This window comes from Homo sapiens, chromosome 15, assembly GCF_000001405.40.
Source record: "Homo sapiens chromosome 15, GRCh38.p14 Primary Assembly".
NCBI lineage: Eukaryota > Metazoa > Chordata > Mammalia > Primates > Hominidae > Homo > Homo sapiens.
The window spans coordinates 36,447,761-36,468,770 of NC_000015.10; the positions used below are offsets into that span (position 1 = coordinate 36,447,761).

At 37.1% G+C, this 21,010-nt stretch overlaps 1 long non-coding RNA gene across 1 annotated transcript in view; it reads left to right on the forward strand.

The window, feature by feature from the left end:
- The window catches only part of LOC105370768 (uncharacterized), a 38,329-nt gene that overhangs the window by 1,055 nt on the left and 16,264 nt on the right, over positions 1–21,010 (forward strand). Inside the window, exon 2 of the long non-coding RNA XR_932110.1 lies at positions 3,265–3,453. This is a non-coding gene — a long non-coding RNA (uncharacterized LOC105370768). The remainder of the gene's footprint in view (positions 1–3,264; positions 3,454–21,010) is intronic.

Sequence of the window (21,010 nt, forward strand, 5' to 3'; positions counted from 1 at the left end):
AAGCCCTGTTCTAGAGTTGCTTGACTGCTTTTATGTCCATTTATAAAAGCTTTCCAAATCAAGAGAATCATGTATTTGTTATTTATGGGTCCATGAAATACCCAAGTAATTAAAACTAGCCATTTTACCATTAATCAAGCATGGAAACCACAGTGTTTTGTGATGTACAGTCATTTCAACATCAGCCTACAGTTGCACAGGCCCATCTAATCGCCTGCATGGCAATACAATGAAATAGGTGCTGAGATTATATTGCTAGGCATCCAAATGTCTCATATTGTTTGGAGATGCACATGCTCTGGCCAACCCATAATATATTAAAGTTTTAAAGTTGTGCAAAAGAAACTCTTAAAATCAGATAGTAATAGTTAGCATCTGAAAAAGTGTATAACCTGTACCCAGCGTTAACATAAACACAAAAGAAAGTTACATTTTAGACAGGTTCACAACACAGTCAGAAAGCAGGACCTGACATTGCATATTCTCAATTTGCAAATGCATTCCTTTCTAAAAAGCTGCAATTAATTACAAACTAGTTTTGATGCCGTTTATTCTTTCCTTAAATATGGAGTGAATTCGCCTCATAAACTAATGAACCAAAGTGGAGCCAAATAGAGACCAGCTGGCTGGATAACTCAGTAATTTTATCCACATGATTGACTTTATGATTCTTTCACTGAAGTAACTAGTTTTTATTTTTGCAATCAGCACCAATGACAATTTGGGAGGGGGTGGGGAATTATTAAAATCTGGAGAAAGAAGAGGCACTGATTATTTGATGTGGAACAGCACATTCCTCCACACACTTCTCCAGTATCATAGGTGCTGGATTCCAGGTCTCTCTGGCTTCCAAAGTAACACACTTAGTTGCCACAGAGACATAATAAGCAACCAATGCCCAAATAATCATTACAGATACTCCATTAACAGCATCTAACTGTGTGGCTTTTAACCATACAAATTGTTTTTTGACAGCTTGTAACCTTTTCAAATACTTTCCTTTGGACATTACACTACACTCAGATCTAATTTTAACTTTTGCTTTGTCTATAATTTATGAGTTTCTTTGGAGCTGCATAATGTATTTGAGGAGAAAGGATACATTCAAATAAAAGCTAAAAACAAAATCAATTACTGTTTTAATCCATGAAACCTTTGCTCACTGGGAGATCACTACAATAGGATGAAACAAAAAGAAGGGAGGGAAGGACCTAAATGATCTAGAATTCCCTTAGAAGCTGTTTTAAAACAAGCAGGTTTAACCTATTTAAATAGGATCATAGCTGAACAGAAATGAAATATATCACTGGTACATGGAAAAGTTTCTCTTAAGATGCATGAAATTTCACAACATACAAATTTTAAAATTATAAAATGGCTTAATGAGGCTGTCAGTGAAGAGCTAAAATATACAACACTCCTTTAGCAGTGAAAATCTCCAGGTTTGCAATTTCCAGATACTGGAATCCATCCACTCAAGAAAAAGGAAGCATATCATTCCAAAAGTTGGTCCAAAAAAAAAATGGATACATCTTAAAGATCATAGATCACAAATGGTTGGCACTAAAAGGAACTTTAGAAATCGTCTGTTCAGGCTCAAACTGAAGCCTAGTGGCCGGCTTTGTTCTTAACTGTTCTCTCCTCTCGCTCCCCACACCCAGACAATCGGCAAGTCCAGCCTGCTCTATCGCAGGAATCACATTCATCCCTGGCCACACCCTCAGCTCTTAAACACTAGCACCTCTCACTGGGACTGCTGCCACAGGACATTAAAGCAGGGGACAGCAAACTGAAGCTCACAATCCCCCTTTGCTGCCTCTTTTTGTATGTCCTGAAAGCTAAGAATAGTTTTTACATTTTTTAATTATTATAAAAAACAAAGGAATAATAATATTGTATGGCATGTGAAATTATATGAAATTCAAATTCCAGTGTCCCTCAATAAAGTTTTACTGGAACACAGCCATGGTAAGTCTTTCATGTATTGCCTATGACTGCTTTTGCTTTACAAGAGCAGAACTGAGTCACTGAGACAGAGACTGCATGGCCCACAGAGCCTAACGTACTTACTCTCTGGCTCTTTACAGAAAATGTTTACTGACTTTTGTCTTATCAGTCCCCTATATCACACTTTCTGTGCCATAGTCATTTAAAGAAATGACACAGCATAGCAACCAGTGATCCTTTTCAAACAAATCAACTCCCGTCATTTTGTGTTTAAAACTCTTATATGCTCTGCTGTCCAATATGGCAGCCACTAGCCACATGTGCCTGTTGAACACTTGAAAAGTGTCTAGCGCAACTGACCAGCTGGATTTTTATTTTTGTTTAATTTCAATTAATTAAGTTTTAAAAATGGATAATTCAATTATTGGAAAGCATTTGACTATGTTTGGAATAACCTGGCTATGTGAATGTACTATATCAATTGAAGATTTTAGGAAGTCTCAGTGCAGGTCAAGTATTCCCAATGAAAATTTTGGATCCAAATTGGAATGCGCTAAAAATGTAAAATACACACAGGGGTTTCAAGACTTAATCTAAAAAACAGAGAATGTAAAATAGCCCACTAATAATTTTAATGGTGATTACAAGTTGAAATAAATAAGTTAAATGACATATCTTATTAAATCTAATTTATCTGTTGTTTGGGTTTTTTTTTTTTTACTTTTAATTGAGGCTACTAGACAATTTAAAATTACATGTGTGGCTTGCATTGTATTTCTGTTGAACAACAAATGCTGCTCTAATGAGTTTACATGGCAATAAGAATAAATTCAAAGTTTTCTTACAATGTCAACGAGGTCTTGTGTGGCCCCTGCCCACCTCTTTAATCACATCTCCTGTCACTCTCCTTTCGCTCTTCATAGCAGTCCCTCAAAGACACTAAACTAATTTTTGCCTTAGAATCTTTCTTTGCACCAACTCTGCCTTCTCTCTGGGAACAGCTGCCCTACATCCTCTTTCTCACCCTTCAGTACAGCTTAAACGTCAGCCTCCTCAGAGAGGCCTTCCCTAATCCACCCCCAGTCACTTTCTTGAATTCAACCTAAGGTTCTTCTCTCCATAACTATTATCAGTATCTGGAATTTTCTTCTGTATTAATTTACATTTCTCTTGACCGTCTCCATTCCCTCCATATTCCCCACCCCAACACACAAAGAGCGGGAACCTTGTCAGTGTTGTTCACTGCCCCATCTCTAACACTTCAAACAATGCCTAGTGCTCAATAAATATTTCAGTGACTGGCCCTTTGTTTTACAGATGTGAAAAACTAAGACACAGAGCAGTTAAAAGATCTAATGACAGAACTCAGAATGGAACACAGGTCTCCTACTTCTAGACTCATGTTTTTGAGGAGATCCGTGGATCAGCATCTCTCCTGGTCAGGACCACAGAGGCCTTCCACCCGCTGTGTGAAGCCTCGTTGGATGCCAGCTTCAAAAGCAAAAGGTCAGCTAACCCAACCATTTATTTTACCCATGGGCACCTAAAAACTTCTCAGTAGCTTTATCTGCTCTCTAAATTCCTTGCCAGATTGTTAGCAGCTTTTGAGATTGCTTCTCAGATGACTTTTTCCTCTGGGCATGGGAAATAATCACCAAAATTAAAGAAGGAAATCAGTGGCATTTAGCCTCTCTCTCTCACCAAAGTGACAGTCACAAAACAGAAAGAACTGGGTCATAAGGATGGCAAAAAGGCAAATTAAATATTCTGAAGTAGCAGCACAACCACTACCAATGAAGTTGGGCGGAAAAGTAAACACTAGGGGTCAGGATGCCCTTCCTCTTTTATCTTTTTCATTTTCCCCTTTCGTTAATTAGCATTCAAACTATGTTCGTGTTCCTGCAAATTAAGCAACAGCCCAAAGGGTGATATTTGAAGGCAATGTGGAAAAATATTACACATTTCGTTTCTTAGTTAAAGTCTAAAATGTCAGTCTTTGTAACACCATATATTTAGACTTTAATCCTTGCGTAAGATCAGATACCTCTAATAGAAACATCATTGGTACCTTCATTTAAGTGAAAGATGTTAGGAGAAAAGAATGAGGGGAGGTGTTTGCCTTGTAGTTGTGCTTATGGGTAGACATATACTATGGTGAGTATATTGTAGTCAAAGGTCATAAACGTCCCAATAAAAGCCTTTTATTTAAATTCTCATTTACTACCAGTTAATGAGCTCAGATTTCTCTCCTCCTTTATTTTTTCACTCGTCACTAGGGAAGAATGTTTTTATTACTTTGACCTTCATGTGCATTTATCAAGCATCTTTTGAGAATGTGTCATGTGAATTGTGCGATCAGGTGTGTTCAGCAACAGAAGCAGAGGTGTAGAGTTGGGGGTGAACATAGTAAGATGGAGCTATCAGTGAGCAAACTGTCCTGGCTAAAGTGGAGGCTTTATTGTATGTCAAAGGAGTGGGATATATAACTAAATAGATGTGGTGAGCAGACTTTAAATGTCAGGTTGAGGTGTTGGAACTTTATTCTGTCAGTAACATGAAACTACTAGAAATTTTATTATATGAATAAAATATTATTCATTGCATGAAATGACATATTTAGGAGTATATTAATGACTAGCATTTATTCAGCACTATGTTCTAGATGCTACTTCTAAGCACTTTACATGCTTATACATTGTTCAGTCCTCACAATTACCCTATAAAAGTAGGTCGAACCTTTGTTATTCCTATTTTACAGATGAGGAAAATGAGATACAGATAAATAACTTGCCCACTGTCACACAGCTATTGTGTGGCAAAGCCAGGGTTCAAACCCAGGCCATCTGTGTCCAGAGCTCTTAAGAAGAATGTCAGAGCAATATGGCAGAATGGCCAAAGGAATAGCTGCTACTAGGCTACATGGAGTCTTTAACAAAGTCAGAAAAGAAGCCACCTCTGGGTGAGGTCAGCAAAAGTGTTGGTGATTGGATGGCCTGCTATCTTTGTATGTGTTTCAAAAGGTGACCCTTCCTCTGGGCAGACACAGCCTCCATCTTTGGCTTGGGGAACAACAAGGCTAGACTTCAGCCCTCATTTGTCCCCATCTTATAGACTGTTGAATATCTGATTTTCAATTAAATTGCTGAACTAGATTAAACCTTCATGTCCCCATACCATCAGTACAGTCAGTTCTATACCACAAAGGGTTGTTTCAAAGTTGAATTTTTGTGAATCTGAGCATGAGTGTGTGTGTGTGCATATTGTGCACATGCACAAAAGCAAAAAAGAAGAGTTAGAGTTCCACATTAGGACTGATGCCAGAACAAGATCAAAGAACAGCCACAAAGTCTTGGAGTTGAGAACATGAATCCCTGATGAAATCTTTCAGGAATTAACAAAAATCTTCATTAAAGATGAAAGGTCATCCAAGGTCCTCAGAAATTCTGCTGGGGATTCAAATTCACGTAGATCTTAGGAGGCAGGGAGATCTCAGCTGTAATCTCAGTCACATTACTAATAATTTTAATTGGGGTGGGGGAAGGGATCCAGAAGAGTTCCATGGAGTAAATGACCTTAAATCATGCTAGGATTTGCCTACTAAGATACACAACTTCATTTAGGTACATATAAACTGTATTAAGAAATCCATGTGCTTTTCCAAAACAGGACACCACACACTTTGGAGGCCCAGATTCGCATTGCTTTTCTATCCTTGCTAGATTTGCATACGTATTCCTACCCTTGAGCTCAGGGCCTCTTGTCCCAGTCCTAGTGAAGAGTGCATGAAATTGCCTGCCTCCAAAGACCAAGGTTCAAGATCAAGTCAATCATGATGTCCATTGTTAGTTGTTCCCACCCATCTCCTCTTGACCAGACATTCTCTGACTCCATTGCCCAAAACTTGAGTGCCCAGGTTCTTAGAACCATCTCCTGCACCTCTGCAACCTCCAGCCAGACCTCGTTTACATGTAACCCCACCTGCCTTGATGACACATTGCTAAAGACCACTGCATACCTCCTTATTCTTTCCTACCTAATTCAAATTTCACTCATAAATCTGATCAGGAAAATCAGAATCTGCCTCCTCTTCATAATCTCTGGTTTTGTCTGAATTCTTTCACTCTGAGCCCTAAAAGTAATTTCCCATCAAAATTTTCTGCTTGCTTTAAAACTCTAGACTTCGAGCAGAAATAACTACTTAGACTTCACCCGAGGTTAGATCATAAACTGCCTAAAATTTAAAATTAAAGTATGACCCAAATAATTTATTTATTACGATATCAACGTACCTGTCCCCTGAATCCCTTAAGGAACCTAAGTTCAAGTTCACTGTGTTAACGTAGTCCAAACAAGAAAGCCACAAAGTTTTATTTATTTTAATTGAGAAAACTTTTCTTTAAAAATAAAAAAAGTGTTAAGGGGGTACAGTGCAGGTTTTGTTGCTTGATGCTGAGGTTTGGGCTTCTATTGATCCCATTGCCCAAGGAATGAACATAGCACCCAATAGGTAGTTTCCAACACTTGCATCTCTCCCCTGCCACCACCATTTAGAATTCCCAGTGTTTATTGTTCTCATCTTTGTGTTCATGTGTACCCAATGTTTAGCTCCCACTTATAAATGAGAACATGCAGTATTTGGTTTTCTGTTTCTGCATTAATTTGCTTAGAGTAATGTCCTTAAACTGCATCCATGTTGCTGCAAAGGACATAATTTCATTCTTTTTTATGGCTGTGTAGTATTCCATCGTGTAAGTGTACCACGTTTTATCTAATCCACCATTGATGGGTCACATGGGCTGGTTTCGTGTCTTTGAAAAGCCACAAAGTTTTAAAGAACAACAGGTTATTAACCTTAAGCAGCTCGTGAATGGGCTTCAGGGGATCTATAAGCTGTCTGAGATAGTGTAAAGTGTGTTTATGTGTATGTATGTCTGTGTGTGCATTTTTCTGAAGAGGGAGTCTGTAGATTTTATCAAAATTTCAAAGGGGTCAGTGAGCCATAAAATTTTAAGGTACACTGTCTGGTCTATCAACTACAGTCCCTCCAGATAGTTGGTGCCCTAGTATATATCTTTGCCTCTGCAGAAAAGCTAAAATACTTGGCAAGTTGCAAGTTTTCTGACTTTCTTATTATTTTTTAGTTTGTAATACTAAAAAATACTTGAAAGAATTAACAAATTCCAAGTCACCATTGCTGACAGTCTTAAAACACCTAAATATGACTTTGAAAAATTAGAAAATTTTTTTCGTAATTACACTAGACATTAATACTCTACTAGTAAAGAATTAAGAAAAATATTTAAATATATTCACACACATAATAGACTTGTTACTTAAAAATTGATAAAACGTTCAGATAACCATGCTTTTCTGTAATCTTATAGTTTTTAAATTAGATTCCATTCATAAACTACATAGTGGGACATTCTTATGGTGTGAGAACGCAAGACAGGACTATCATCTGCAACGTGGGCTAATCCTAGCAGGTTTTCACAGTATGCATTTGGTATATCTGAATCCAGATGATAAAATGCTCTTGTATAATAGGTCTTCTTTACCATTGTATCAAAAAATCCTACTGTTCCTCCACAAAGAATTCATTCTGGTTGAGATAATGTCAATATCTTAGGCACACATAGAAGCGCTGTTTATTCTATTAAATTGGAAAGGCTATTGGTCATGCAAACCTAGTCAAATCTCAACTTATATCCAATTTTGCCAACCCACTGGGGTTACCTGAATCACAGTCAGTCAGAACAAATACAGGTTTTTAGACAGCAAAACTACTCCCCAACCAATACTATATAATTGAGTCTTTTTCCACTGAGGTTGACTAGGTTATGATATTAACTGAGAAGTTTCTATCTCTCTCTCTATCATATATCTACCCATCTGTCTATCTAACTATCTCTATCTGTCCCCCCCCCCTCTCTCTCTCTCTTCCTCCTTCCTACCACCAATTGCATCACTCTGACCCCCTCTTCTGCTTCTCTTCTCCACCCATATAAGACCCTTTTGATTACACTGGGCCTAGGGCCTAACTGGATAATCTTGCTCCGTTAAGGTCAGCTGATTAATAACCTTAATTCCATTTGCACTTATTTTTTTTCACCATATAAGGTAATATATTCACAGGTTGTGGGGACTACAGACATGGACATCTTTGGGGGCCATAATTCTGCCTGCCACACCTCCTGAGGCCTAGTCGTGTGTTCTGATATATTATCTATTTGTTCTTCAAAAGAGGACATAAACATATTGCTTACCTCACACCCCCTAAAAGGACGACACGCTGCTTCACCTCAGACTTGATTCCCTATGTAAGGGGACACAATTACTTCATTTGGAAACTGATTTTTTATTTCCGAGTACTTCAGAATCATAAAGCAGCTTTGAAGAAGAAAGAAAATCTGATAATTTAGTAGCAGAGTTAGGTATATTTTCATAAAAATAACATAGACCTGAAGAACATTTCCAAATATATGAGACTCAAAAGAGCAACTTAATTTGTTGCAGCCTTCCCTGGTTCCTAAGCAAATGCATCCATGTTGATGTTGTGAGTACAAGGGAAGTTATGGTTATGTTTTCTGGGTCCTATCATATGACTATGGTGTATATACACACCGCAAGCATGTGCAGACCCAGGTTGGAAGACGCATTTAGCACCTACCTTCTTTTAAGGGCATAGGCGAACTTTATGAATATTAATTTCAGTCAGGATCACTATTTGCAGAAGTTTTTCTCTTACCAAGTAGAGGCTGTCACTCAGTAAGTGCATTATTACTCAAATGAGCAGGCCAAGTAAAGTGCATTTGAGTTTCTATGAGAATACATCACCAAACAAAGCAGGGGCTGTACAAGCAGAAGGTGTGTGCAGCAAAGGCCTATTAAGGGGATACAATTTTCCCATGAACTCTTTGCCCATTATATAATAATCACAGCTGTATGCTGTTGGAAAAAAGATTCAGCTTCTCCATATAATAAAATTATACCTAGGCATGCAGAAAATCTCCTAAAATCACATAGAGGAAAAAAATATAACTTTCATTAAACATTAATGCCAACACTCAAGCATTAACCACAACAATTTGTTACACTAAAAATAAGGAAGTCAAAATGCTGAAAGTGGAAAATATAGTCCTGAGTCTTTGGCCACATTATCCAGCCGCTTCATTTTTGTTGCCATTAAAAAGTTAGGATTCCCAAAGCTTTATCAATTTCTAAATTTTACACAAACCTCAAACCACCTTAATATTCTAAATTTATTTCTGCAGTCTTTTACATTTTAGAAAACTTTTTCTAATCGCAAAGTTCAAGAACCACTTTCCTGACTCACTCACCTGCTATCACCTATATAGTTAGTATGGGATGACTCCCCTTTTTCATACACCTACTTGAAGGCACACACACACACATACACACACACACACACACACACACACGCATATGCATACAGGCAAGGTAACTCCCTTCAGGACCTGCCTTGCAGAAGGAAAAACCGAACACATTACCTGGAATGAAATGAGACTGGAATTATAAATTATGGAGACAAAATCATTGCTATTGCCTAAACTCGTCGAGGGTTCCAAGTGAGAGACAACATTGAGGTTTTAATTTTTTTTTTTTTTTAAACAGAGTTTCGCTCTGTCGCCCAGGCTGGAGTGCAGTGGCACTATCTCAGCTCACTGCAACCTCTGCCTCTCAGGCTCAAGCGATTCTTCTGCCTTAGTCTCCTGAGTAGTTGGGGTTACAGATGCCTGCCACCATGCTTGGCTAATTTTTGTGTTTTTAGGAGAGACGGGGTTTTACCATGTTGTTCAGGCTGGTCTCAAACTCCTTACCTCAGGTGATCCGCCCACCTTGGCCTCCCGTAGAGCTGGTATTACAGGTGTGAGCCACCGTGCCTGGCCAAGGTCCTTTGTTCTTTTTTTTTTTTTTTTTTTTGCATAAATAATTAACTCTCTAGAAAGCTATGTAGGCTTTTCATCTACATGTATTTCCATTAATGTAATTGTTTGAACTTACATATGCATGATTTTTTTAGCAAAAAATGAAGTTTTAATTATTTTATTGGAACTATCAATCCCCAGAAAACTTCAAGAACCACCATTACAGCTGCATTTCAGATTATTCTTAATGTGCATACTGATTCAATAATAGAAGCTCACCTGAAAGTCTGATGGGTTGTGCTCTTGTTGATTTTGCCATTCCCACAATCTATTGGCTTCTTTATTTGACTAAGAGATTAGTTTAATGAATGTATTCTCATTAGGGATTTTTTTTTTTTTTTTTACCATATCCACAGGGTATGAGTTAAGTTTGGAGAGTGCTGATTGTTCACTTGTGGTGGAAGTTTGACTAGAAGGAGCCTGGGCATACACCAACCACAACACAAAGAAAAGATATTTCCCAAAGAGTTCAAGTAACCCCAAATTCTATTCAATGTTCTTCCTTACAGTAAATAGTTCATGATGAGGTTGATCAGAATTCATTAGGTAGTAACACTGTTCTCTTTTCATGTTCCCCTCCTAATGTGGAAGCATCATTTGCAGCCACAGAACGTAAAGTAATGAGTTGTTTTACCAATAGCTAGAATGAATTTTTTCTTATTCTAATACACTGTCTAGCATAAATCTCTTTACAGACCAGTGGTATTTTCAAAACAGCTATCTATGGTTAGATGTAGATGGGATGCTAAATTAGCTTGCATGGGAACTCATATCAAAAAGTATTTTCATTAAGCTTAAGGAACAGAAACTCTTCAATGTAAAGGACATACTTCACCCAAGCTAAAGGAGAAAGTTGCCTTTGAGTCAGTTTGCTCGGGAATATAGAAGAGCGAACCACTCTGAGCAGAGTAAACGTGCTTTTTCTTACTTAGTGATGCATTTGTGGCTGTCTGGAAAACCAGGAGCAGACTAGTGATACAGTATTTCTCAAACACACACAGGGAAGGATGCCTGAGGCTGCGCTGTGATCACCATGCAAACCAAGTCTGAGCAGATACAGGCCTTGGAAACGGAACACAATTCATTCAAAGAAATACTCCAATTCTAATGGCCTCATAGAAAGTATAAAATGCAGTTGAATCTTAAATCAGTTTTACATGATTCACAACTTATAGCTCTATCTCTAACCTGCCCCCTTCTCCAAGAACATGATTTTAAATAACAATTTCAGTTTAGATTTTAATATTCCTTCTGTTGGACTTTACCCTAATGAAATTTAAATTACTAAAAGCAAACAGACCCACTGTTTTTAGCCCTCATCCTTCTGGTGGTATTTTGTGTTTTAGGTTTATTTATTTTTCTGAAATCAATGGAATAGACCCATACTATCTGATTTTCTCTTTGCCATAAAAAAGAAACCAATATATGTTTCTCACACATAAATTAGACGCTGATCTTGGGATATGCAACTATTAGAAAACTCCACATCAACTAAACCAAATTATTCACAACAAGGAAAGTGATGGAGAAAAAGTTTTTTTAGATATGCCTCTGATACTTTCATGACTGACTAATTTATAAGAAAAATCCTACTCATAACAGCTAAAGAAAAATGATTTTATTATAAATAAAGTATACTATTACTTCAATATCATATAGAGCTTACAATCTTTGATTTACAGTTTTTCTCAGAGTCTGTTTAAACTTTGAGCATCTGCAATGTTGGTCTCTCATTTTATTTTGTTAAAATCTATTCATTCTCTTACACCCCACGGGAAATTTCTCATCTTCCTTTGCATACACAGGTCCAAATATAATTCTGGCCCTTTCCATCATCTCAAATAAATAAATTAAAACCTCATATGTAAATCTATTGCAGCTGAAAGAAGACTGGGGGCAGGGAAGAACAAAGCATACATGCATCACGGAAAAAGACATTATAAATAAAAAGCAAATTAACAGTAGTGAGATATTTGTCCTTTACAACCAATGCATTTTGTTAAACTGAGGGCCTGTCAAAATATATAATATGACTTAAAAGAAAGTAAAATATTCCGATACATGGTGAACACATTTCTAAAACCTGTTTCTCAAGGAAATTCATGAAAACTAATGTTTAATTTTTCTTACAGTACCTTGTGACCCAAATTCCTTCACAAAAGAACTCTGCCATACTTTCAGAATGGAAAGCAAGAACTTTTGTTTATTCCAGTTCTTCTCTAACCGTGGCAAATATAAAGCATTGACTGAATTGTTATAGTATTTATTCCCTCAAAAGAAAACAAAAGGAGGCTGGGTGCGGTGGCTCACGCCTGTAATCCCAGCACTTTGGGAGGCCGAGGCGGGCGGATCACGAGGTCAGGAGATCGAGACCATCCTGGCTAACATGGTGAAGCCCCGTCTCTACTAAAAATACAAAAAAGTTAGCCGGGCGTGGTGGCAGGTGCCTGTAGTCCCAGCTACTCGGGAGGCTGAGGCACGAGAATGGCGTGAGACGGAGAGGCGGAGCTTGCAGTGAGCCGAGATGGCGCCACTGCACTCCAGCCTGGGCGACAGAGCGAGACTCTGTCTCAAAAAAAAAAAAAAAAAAAAAAAGGAAAGTACACTCTTTAGCAAGGCAAAAAAAAAAGTCACAAGTAAATTTTAGACATTTTCTGTGACTGAGGCTTACAAAGTGGCATCCAAGTGAATTTCCAAGTGACGTTCCTCTTTATGACTCTGTAGGTAAACAAAGTCCTTCTACCACACAAGTGAAAGCAGCAGCAGCATCTCTATTCATAGACTACCTTTAAGGAACTGCTAAGAGGCCAGACTCCAGCCTACCTCAGTGGTTCCCCAAAACTGGTTGCACATGAGAGCCGTCTGGGGAGATTTTTTAAATGCACATGCCCTGGTCACACTCCCTAGCGATTCATATTTAATACAACTAGATTGGAGGCCCAGGAAGTTGAATTTTTTAAGGACGCAAATGAATTTGATCAACCAGGCTTGAAATCATCAATAGTACTAGATGAGCATACTATTCCACTTATTGACAAAGCAGCCATAATTGACACTAATTGGTTATATCTACTCCTGCAAACTCTCTTTTATTTACATTTAAATTTTTATTTTTATGATTTTTTAGTATATTTTTATTTCAATAGCTTTTGGAGTACAAGTGGTTTTTGGTTACATGGATGAATTGTGTAGTGGTGAAGTCTAAGACTTTAGTTCACCTGTCACCCAAGTAGTATATGTTGTACTTACTATACATTTTGTAATCCCTCACTTCCCTGTCACTCTCTCCACTTCTAGGTCGCCAAAGTCCATTACATCACTGCATGACTTTGTATACCTATAGCTTAGCTCCCACTTATAAGTGAGAACATACGGTATTTGGTTTTCCATTCCTGAGTTACTTCACTTAGAATAATGGCCTACAGCTCAATCCAAGTTGCTGCAAAAGACATTATTTCATTTTTTTATGGCTGAGTAGTATTCCATGGTGTATACATGCCAAATTGTCTTTATCTGCTCATTGGTCAATGAGCACTTATGTTGATTCCCTATCTTTGCAATTGTGAATTGTGCTGCAATAAACACATGTGTGAAGGTGTTGTTTTGGTATAATGGCTTATTTTCCTTTAGGCAGATACGCAGTAGTGGGATTGCTGGATCAAATGGTAGATCTACTTTTAGTTCTTGGAGAAATCTCCACACTGTTTCCATAGAGGTTGTACTAATTTACATTCCCAGAAGCAGTATATAAGCATTCCTTTTTACCATATCCATATCAAGATCTATTTGATATCTACTTTGATCATCTACTTTTTAATAGTGGCCATTCTGGTGGGGGGAAGCTGTTACCTCATTGTGGTTTTAATTTGCATTTCCCTGATGATTTGTGATGTTGAGCATTTTTATATGTTTCTTGGCTATTTTTATATCTTCTTTTAAGAAATATCTATTCATGTCATTTGCCCACTTTTTGATGGAATTATTTAGGGTTTATTTCCCGCTGATTTGTTTGAGTTCCTTGTAAATTCTGGATATTAGTGCTTTGTTGGATGCATAGTTTGCAGATACTTTCTCCCATTCTGTGAGTTGTCTGTTTAATGATTATTTCTTTTGCAGTGCAGAAATTTTTTTGTTTAATTAGGTCCCATTTGTTTATTTATGCTTTTGTTGCATTTCCTTTTGGGGTCCTAGTCATAAATTATTTGCCTAGGCCAATATCCAGGAGACCAATAGCCTAGGAGTTTTTCCTAGGTTTTCTTCTAGAATTTTTATGATTTCAAGTCTTACATTTAAGTCTTTGACCCATCTTGAGTTGATTTTTGTATATGGTGAGAGATAAGGATCCAGTTGCATTCTTCTACATGTGGCTATCCAGTTTTCCCAGCACCATTTATTAAATAGGGTGTCCTTTCCCCAATTTATGTTTTGTATGCTTTGTCAATTCATTGTAAGCATTTGGCTTTATTTCTGGGTTCTCTATTTCATTAGTCTATATATGTACTTTTATACCAGAACCATGCTGTTTTGGTGACTATAGCTTTGTAGTATAATTTGAAGTCAGATAATGTGATGCCTGCAGATTTGCTCTTTTTGCTTAGAATTGCTTTGTCTATTTGGGCCCTTTTTTTGGTTTCATATGAATTTTAGGATTGTTTTTTCTAATTCTGTGAAAAATAATGTTGGTATTTTGATGTAAATTGTATTGAATCTGTAGATTGCTTTGGTCAGTGTGGTCATTTTCATATTGAATCTTCCATTCCATGAGCATAGGATGTATTTCCATTTGTTCGTGTCATCTATTATTTCTTTCAGGAGTGTTTTATAGTTCTCCTTGTAGAGATCTTTCACCTCATTTGTTAAGTATATTCCTAGATATGTTAATTTTTTGCAACTACTATAAAAGGGATTGAGTTCTTGGTTTGATTCTCAGCTTGGTCGTTGCTGGTGTATAGCAGTGCTATTGATTCGTATACATTGATTTTGTAACCTGAGACTTTACTGAATTCATTTATCAAATCAAGAAGTCTTTTGGAGAAGACTAGGGTTTTCTGGGCATACAATCATATCATCGGCAAATAGAGGTAGTTTGACCTCCTCTTTTCCTGTCTGGATGCTTTTTATTTTTTTCTCTTGCCTGCTTGTTCTGGATAGGACTTTCAGTACTATGTTGAATAGAAGTGGTGAAAGTGGGCATGTTTGTCTTGTTACAGTTCTCGGGGGAATGCTTTCAACTTTTCCTCATTCAGTATGATGTTGGCTTAGGGTTTGTCATATATGGCTTTTGTTATTTTGAGGTATCTACCTTCTATGCTTAGTTTGTTGGGAGTTTTTATCATAAAATTGTGCTACATTTTATTGAATGCTTTGACTGCATCTATTGAGATGATCATATGGTTTTTGCTTTTAAATCTGTTTATGTGCTATATCACATTTATTGACTGTGTTTGTTAAATCATCTGCGTTCCTGGGATGAAACCCACTTGATCATGGTGTATTATCTTTTTGATGTCTTGTCGGATTTGGTTTGCTAATATTTTCTTGAGAAATTTTTTATCTTTGTTCATCAAGTTTATTGGTCTGTAATTTTCTTTTTTGTTGTTGTTATGTTTTTTCTGGATTTTGGTATCAGGGTGATACTGGCTTCATAGAATGAGTTGCAGAGGATTCCCTCTTTCTCTTTTGGAATAGTTTCAGTGGGATTGATGTCAATTCTTCCTTGAATGTCTGGTAGAATTCAGCTATGAATCTATCTGGCCCCAGCCTTTTTTGTTGTTGGCAATTTTTTTTTTGAGATGGAGTCTCACTATGTTGCCCAGGCTGGAGTGCAGTGGCATGATCTCAGCTCACCACAACCTCTGCCTCCCAGGTTCAAGTGATTCTCCTGCCTCAGCCTCCCGAGTAACTGGGACTACAGGTGTGCACCACCATGCCTGGCTAATTTTTGTATTTTTAGTAGAGGTGGGGTTTCAGTATGTTGGTCAAGCTGGTCTCAAACTCCTGACCTCACAATCCACCCACCTCAGCCTCCCAAAGTGCTGGGATTACAGACATGAGCCACCACGCCTGGCCTGGCAATTTTTTTTATTACTGATTCAATCTCACTGCTTGTTATTATTCTGTTCAGGATTTCTGTTTCTTCCTGATTCAGTTCAGAAGGGTTATATATTTCCAGCAATTTATTCATTTCTTCTAGATTTTCTCATTTCTGTGCATATAGGTGTTCGTGGGAGACTTGAATGATATTTTGCATTTCTGTGGTGTGGTGTCAGTTGTAATATCTCCATTTTCATTTCCAATTGAACTTATTTGAATTTTCTCCCTCCTTTTGGTTAATGTAGCTAATGGTCTATAAACTTTGTTTATCTTTTCAAATAACCAACTTTTTGTTTCATTGTTCTCTGGGGATTTTTCAATTTCATTTAGTTCTGTTATGATCTTCATTATTGTTTTTCTTCTGCTAGCTTGGGGTTTGGTTTGTTCTTGTTTTTCTAATTCTATGAGGTATGACATAAGGTTCTTAATTTGGGATCTTTCAGACTTTTTCTTAGCACTGCTTTTGCTATATTCCAGAGGTTTTAATAACTTGTGTCACTATTATCATTCATTTCAAAGAATTTTTAAATTTTCTTCTTGACTTCACTGTTAACCCAAAAATCATTCAGGAGCAGATTTTTCAATTTCCATGCATTTGTATCATTTTGAGCGTTCTTTTTGGAGTTGATTTCTAGTTTTAATGCACTGTGTTCTGAGAAGATACTTGATATGATTTTGATTTTTTAAAATTTATTGAGACCTATTTTGTAGCCTATAATATGGTCTGTCTTGGAGACTATTCCATGTGCTTAAGAGAAGAATGTGTATTCTGAAGTTGTTGGGTAGAATGTTCTATGAATATCTGTTAGGTCCATTTCTTCTAGAATGTAGTTTAAGTCCTTTGTTTCTTTATTGACTTTCTGCCTCAGTGATCTCTCTAGTGCTGTCAGTGGAGTATTGAAGTTCCCCACTATTATTATACTCCTATTTCTTTCCTTTGGTCTAGTAGTAATTGTTTTAAGAATCTGGAAGCTCCAGAGTTAGGTGCTACATATATTTAGGATTGTAATAATTTCCTGTTGGATTCTTTTATCATTATATAACGATCTTCTTTGTCTTTTTTTTTTTACTGTTGTTGCTTTAAAGTCTGTTTTATCTTACATAAGAATAGCTATTCCTGCTAGCTTTTGGTTTCCATTTGCATGAAATATCTTTTTCCACCCCTTTACCTTGAGTTTATAAGAATCCTTATGTATTAAGTGAATATCTTATAGGCAGTAGATATTTGGTTTTTGATTTTTTTTATCAATTCTGCCAATCTGTATCTTTTAAGTGGAGTGTTTAGACCATTTATATTCCACGTTAATGTTGAGATGTGAGGTACTGTTCCAGTCATCATGTTGGTTGTTACCTAGATATTTTTTTTCATTGTGTTATTGTTTTATAGGCCCTGTGAGTTTTATATTTTCAAGAGGTTCTATTTTGGTGCATACTGACCTTTGTTTGCAAGATTTAGAACTCCCTTTAGCATTTCTTGTAGGACTTGTCTTGTAGTGACAAATTCCCTCTGCATTTGTTTGTCTGAAAGACTTTATTTCTCCTACACTTATAAAAGTTAATTTGGCCAGATACAAAATTCTTGGCTGACAGTTATTCTGTTTAAGGAGGCTAATGATAGAACCCCATCTTCTGGCTTATAAGGTTTCTGCTAAGAAGTCTGCTGTTAGTCTGATGGGTTTTCCTTTATAGGTTACCTGATGCTTTTGTCTCACTGCTTTTAGAGTACTTTCCTTCATGTTGACGTTAGGTAGTCTGATGACTATATCCCTTAGTGATGTCCTTTTTGCAATAAATCTCCCAGGAGTTCTTTGAGCTTCTTGTAATTGGATATCTAATTCTCTAGCAAGGCTAGAGGAGTTTTCTCAATTATTCCCTTAAATAAATTTTCCAAACTTTTTGCTTTTGTTTCTCCCTCAGGAACACCATTGATCCTTAGGTTTGACCATTTTATATAATCCCATATTTCTTGGAGACTTTGTTCATTTCTTTTGATTTTTTTTTCTTTATTTTTGTCTGTTTGGTTTAATTTGAAAACTTCATTTCTGAGCTCTGAGATATTTTCTTCTACTTGGTCTAGTCTATTGTTAAAACTTTTCGTTGCATTTTGTAATTCCCTGAATTTGTCTTTCATTTCCAGAAGTTCTGATTGGATTGTCTTTAAAATATCTATCTCTTCAGAAAAATTTTAATTCATATCCTGAATTGTTCTTTTTAATTTCTTTATGTTGGTTTTCACCTTTCTCTTGTATCTCCTTGAATAGCTTAATAATCAACCTCTTGAATTCTTTATCTGGTATTTCAAAGATTTTATCTTATTTTGTAGCCATTGCTGGAGAGCTAGTGTGATCTTCTGGGAATGTTATGGCATCCTGTTTTGTCATATTGCCAGAATAATATTTCTGGTTCCTTCTCATTTCAGTAGACTATTTCTTCTAATTATTCTGGAGTTTACTTTTTACTCTACTGTGTTTTTTTTAATTTCTTCCCCTTTAAGAATGCAGCTTTAATGTTTATAGTTCATTGTAGCCTAATTTGTCTCTTGTTGCATTCAAGGATGAAGACTTTATATGAGTTCCTTAGTTATAGGCAGTCTTTGTATGATGGCTTTCTCAAATGCTTGTTGTTGTAGCAATGTGCTCAGTGTGTGAGCAGGTTCACTGTCTGGTTTGGGGTTGGAATGACAGAGGTCCCTTGAAGCTTCCTTATACCCCAGTGGTCTGCATTGATTGATTTATTTATTTTTCCCCAGTATTTTATTTACTAGTATGAACAGTTCAGCCTTCATGCCAGTAGTGGAGGTGTCCATGGGTAAAAATTGGTTGTGACTAAAGCAGGTGGCTAAATGCAATACTGATGGTAGGCCGAGGTCTCAGCCTTGACAGAGGCAGCTGGGGGAGCTCTCAGTGAAATGCACTGAAGTCTTACCAGAAATAAGGATGGGAACCACCTCAGCTGCCCTTCCAGGCCAGTAGAAAGGTGATCCACCTCTTAGTCACACTCCTGACCCAGTGTTCTGGCTATGCAGATCGAACAGGCACTTCTTTTCATTTGCAGGTATGTCAATGTTCCATAAAGAGAGGATCGTGACTCTCCCCCTGTGCAAGTCTGGAGCTGGAGAGCACTCTTTCTGTGGGATGCAGTCACCCTGAAATGAAACTCTCTCTTTAGTAGCTTTTACTTGAGAAGATTCCCATATGCCCTACCTACTTATTGTCATGCCTTCATTATATTAAAAAAAAAAAAGTTGTGAAGTTAAAAAGAACAAGAAAACTGAGATGTTCCATGATATTCTCCAAATTTCAAGACAGTATCTACTCATCTTTCCTGAAGAGATCGTTTGAACTCTTAAATTATCTCACTTTATAAAAGACCATTTTATAAAAATGAATAGCATGGATCTGATCTTGGTGACATCACCCTCCCCAGCCAATCATGCATTGCTCTCTCAGATTATCCAAGGTTTTGTTTGGGCTCTGAAAATTAACCCAAACTTGTCTTATTGGTTTGTCCAGCTTGAATGGGCTATGTCCAGAGATTAGGAAAATAAATAACATTTTGCATGATACTACCTAACATTTAGCCAAATGAATTTGACCCTACCAACTTAAAGTCAAAACCAAAGTAAACAAAAAGCTACCTAATTCTCCAACAAACTTGGGTTTACCAGGCATCCAATTGGTGTAGTAGAAAGAGCTTGGTTGTGGGAATTAGGCTAACATAAGAATAAATCTTAGCTCCCCTGTTCTACATAACTCACGCCACTCTTGGTAGGTTTCTTAATTTTCTACCCTGAAATTTCCTTATCTGCGTCATGGAAATTATGGAAATTATGATATTAACCTGACAGTGTTTTTTGGTTTCTTTTTTTTTTTTTGGAAGATTAAATGGGCTGGTTTAAGAAAACTTCTGTGGTCATAATAAATGCTCAATAATTATGAAGCAGACAGGCTTTGGTGCCAGGGAGACTTGGGATTTTATTCCAGCTCTGCCTATAAGTAATTTGAGGCTTTGGGAAATTCCTTAAATGTTCTAAGTCTCAATGTCATCACCTACAACATGTACATAATAATATTGTGCCTACTGCCTTTAACAATTGCAATGGGTAATACACAGAGAGCATTTTAAGTAGTCTTCCACGTGCTGGCACTTAGTAGACATCATTCAATGCCATCTACGTTTTGCTCCCCACTTTTCATTCTGAAGATTCAGAAGTGGCTTTGCAGAGAAGGAGGAGATCTCAATCCTCCTATCACAGATGAAGATACAAGCAGAAGAGGTTAGATGACTTGCTTAAAGTTACTGAGCTATTTAGTGACAGAGCTCAGTCGCTGACACTTACTCCAGTATCGTTCTTACTATATGACAATACTTCTCTAACATCCCTCAACAGAAATGAATGCTATCTGTGATGAACCCAAATCACTGACAAAATTATTATTTAATTATCCTCATGGCTAGAAAATGGGCCTTGATTCTTGATTAAAATAAAAGCAACCAGATCATTTATTTGTTATAAAATACTACTGTCAAAATATACCAACATAAGACTATAGATCTTCATCACACAGCAAAGCCAAAGACTGACTAAATCTGGTGAAAAACTGGGAAGGGTATTGTGATATTTTTTTTCCCAAATGGATATGAACATGAACTCTCTAGAACTCCCTGCTCGTTTTGGGGTTATTAGCTATATTGAAACAGAAAACAAACTCTCCTTATCTAACAACTGGATGACAATCCATGGAGTGCAGTGAGCCCTTTCGGGGCGATCAATGACAGAGGTACAGTCAGAAGCTACTTTCTATGGTTCCAAGCTGAATAAAAGTCTACAGAGTTGTGGACTCTCCCCAATCCCCCCCAAAAAAAACTGTGCATAAAACTTGAAAGGGGGCAATGTATGTACTGGAGTCCCTTTGGACTTTCTCTTTCACTAACAGAGGATTGCAACCTAAGTGGTTTCTGGCCACAGCAGAAAGCAACAAAAGGCTGCATGGATGATTTTTCTTAAATGAAAAAAAGAG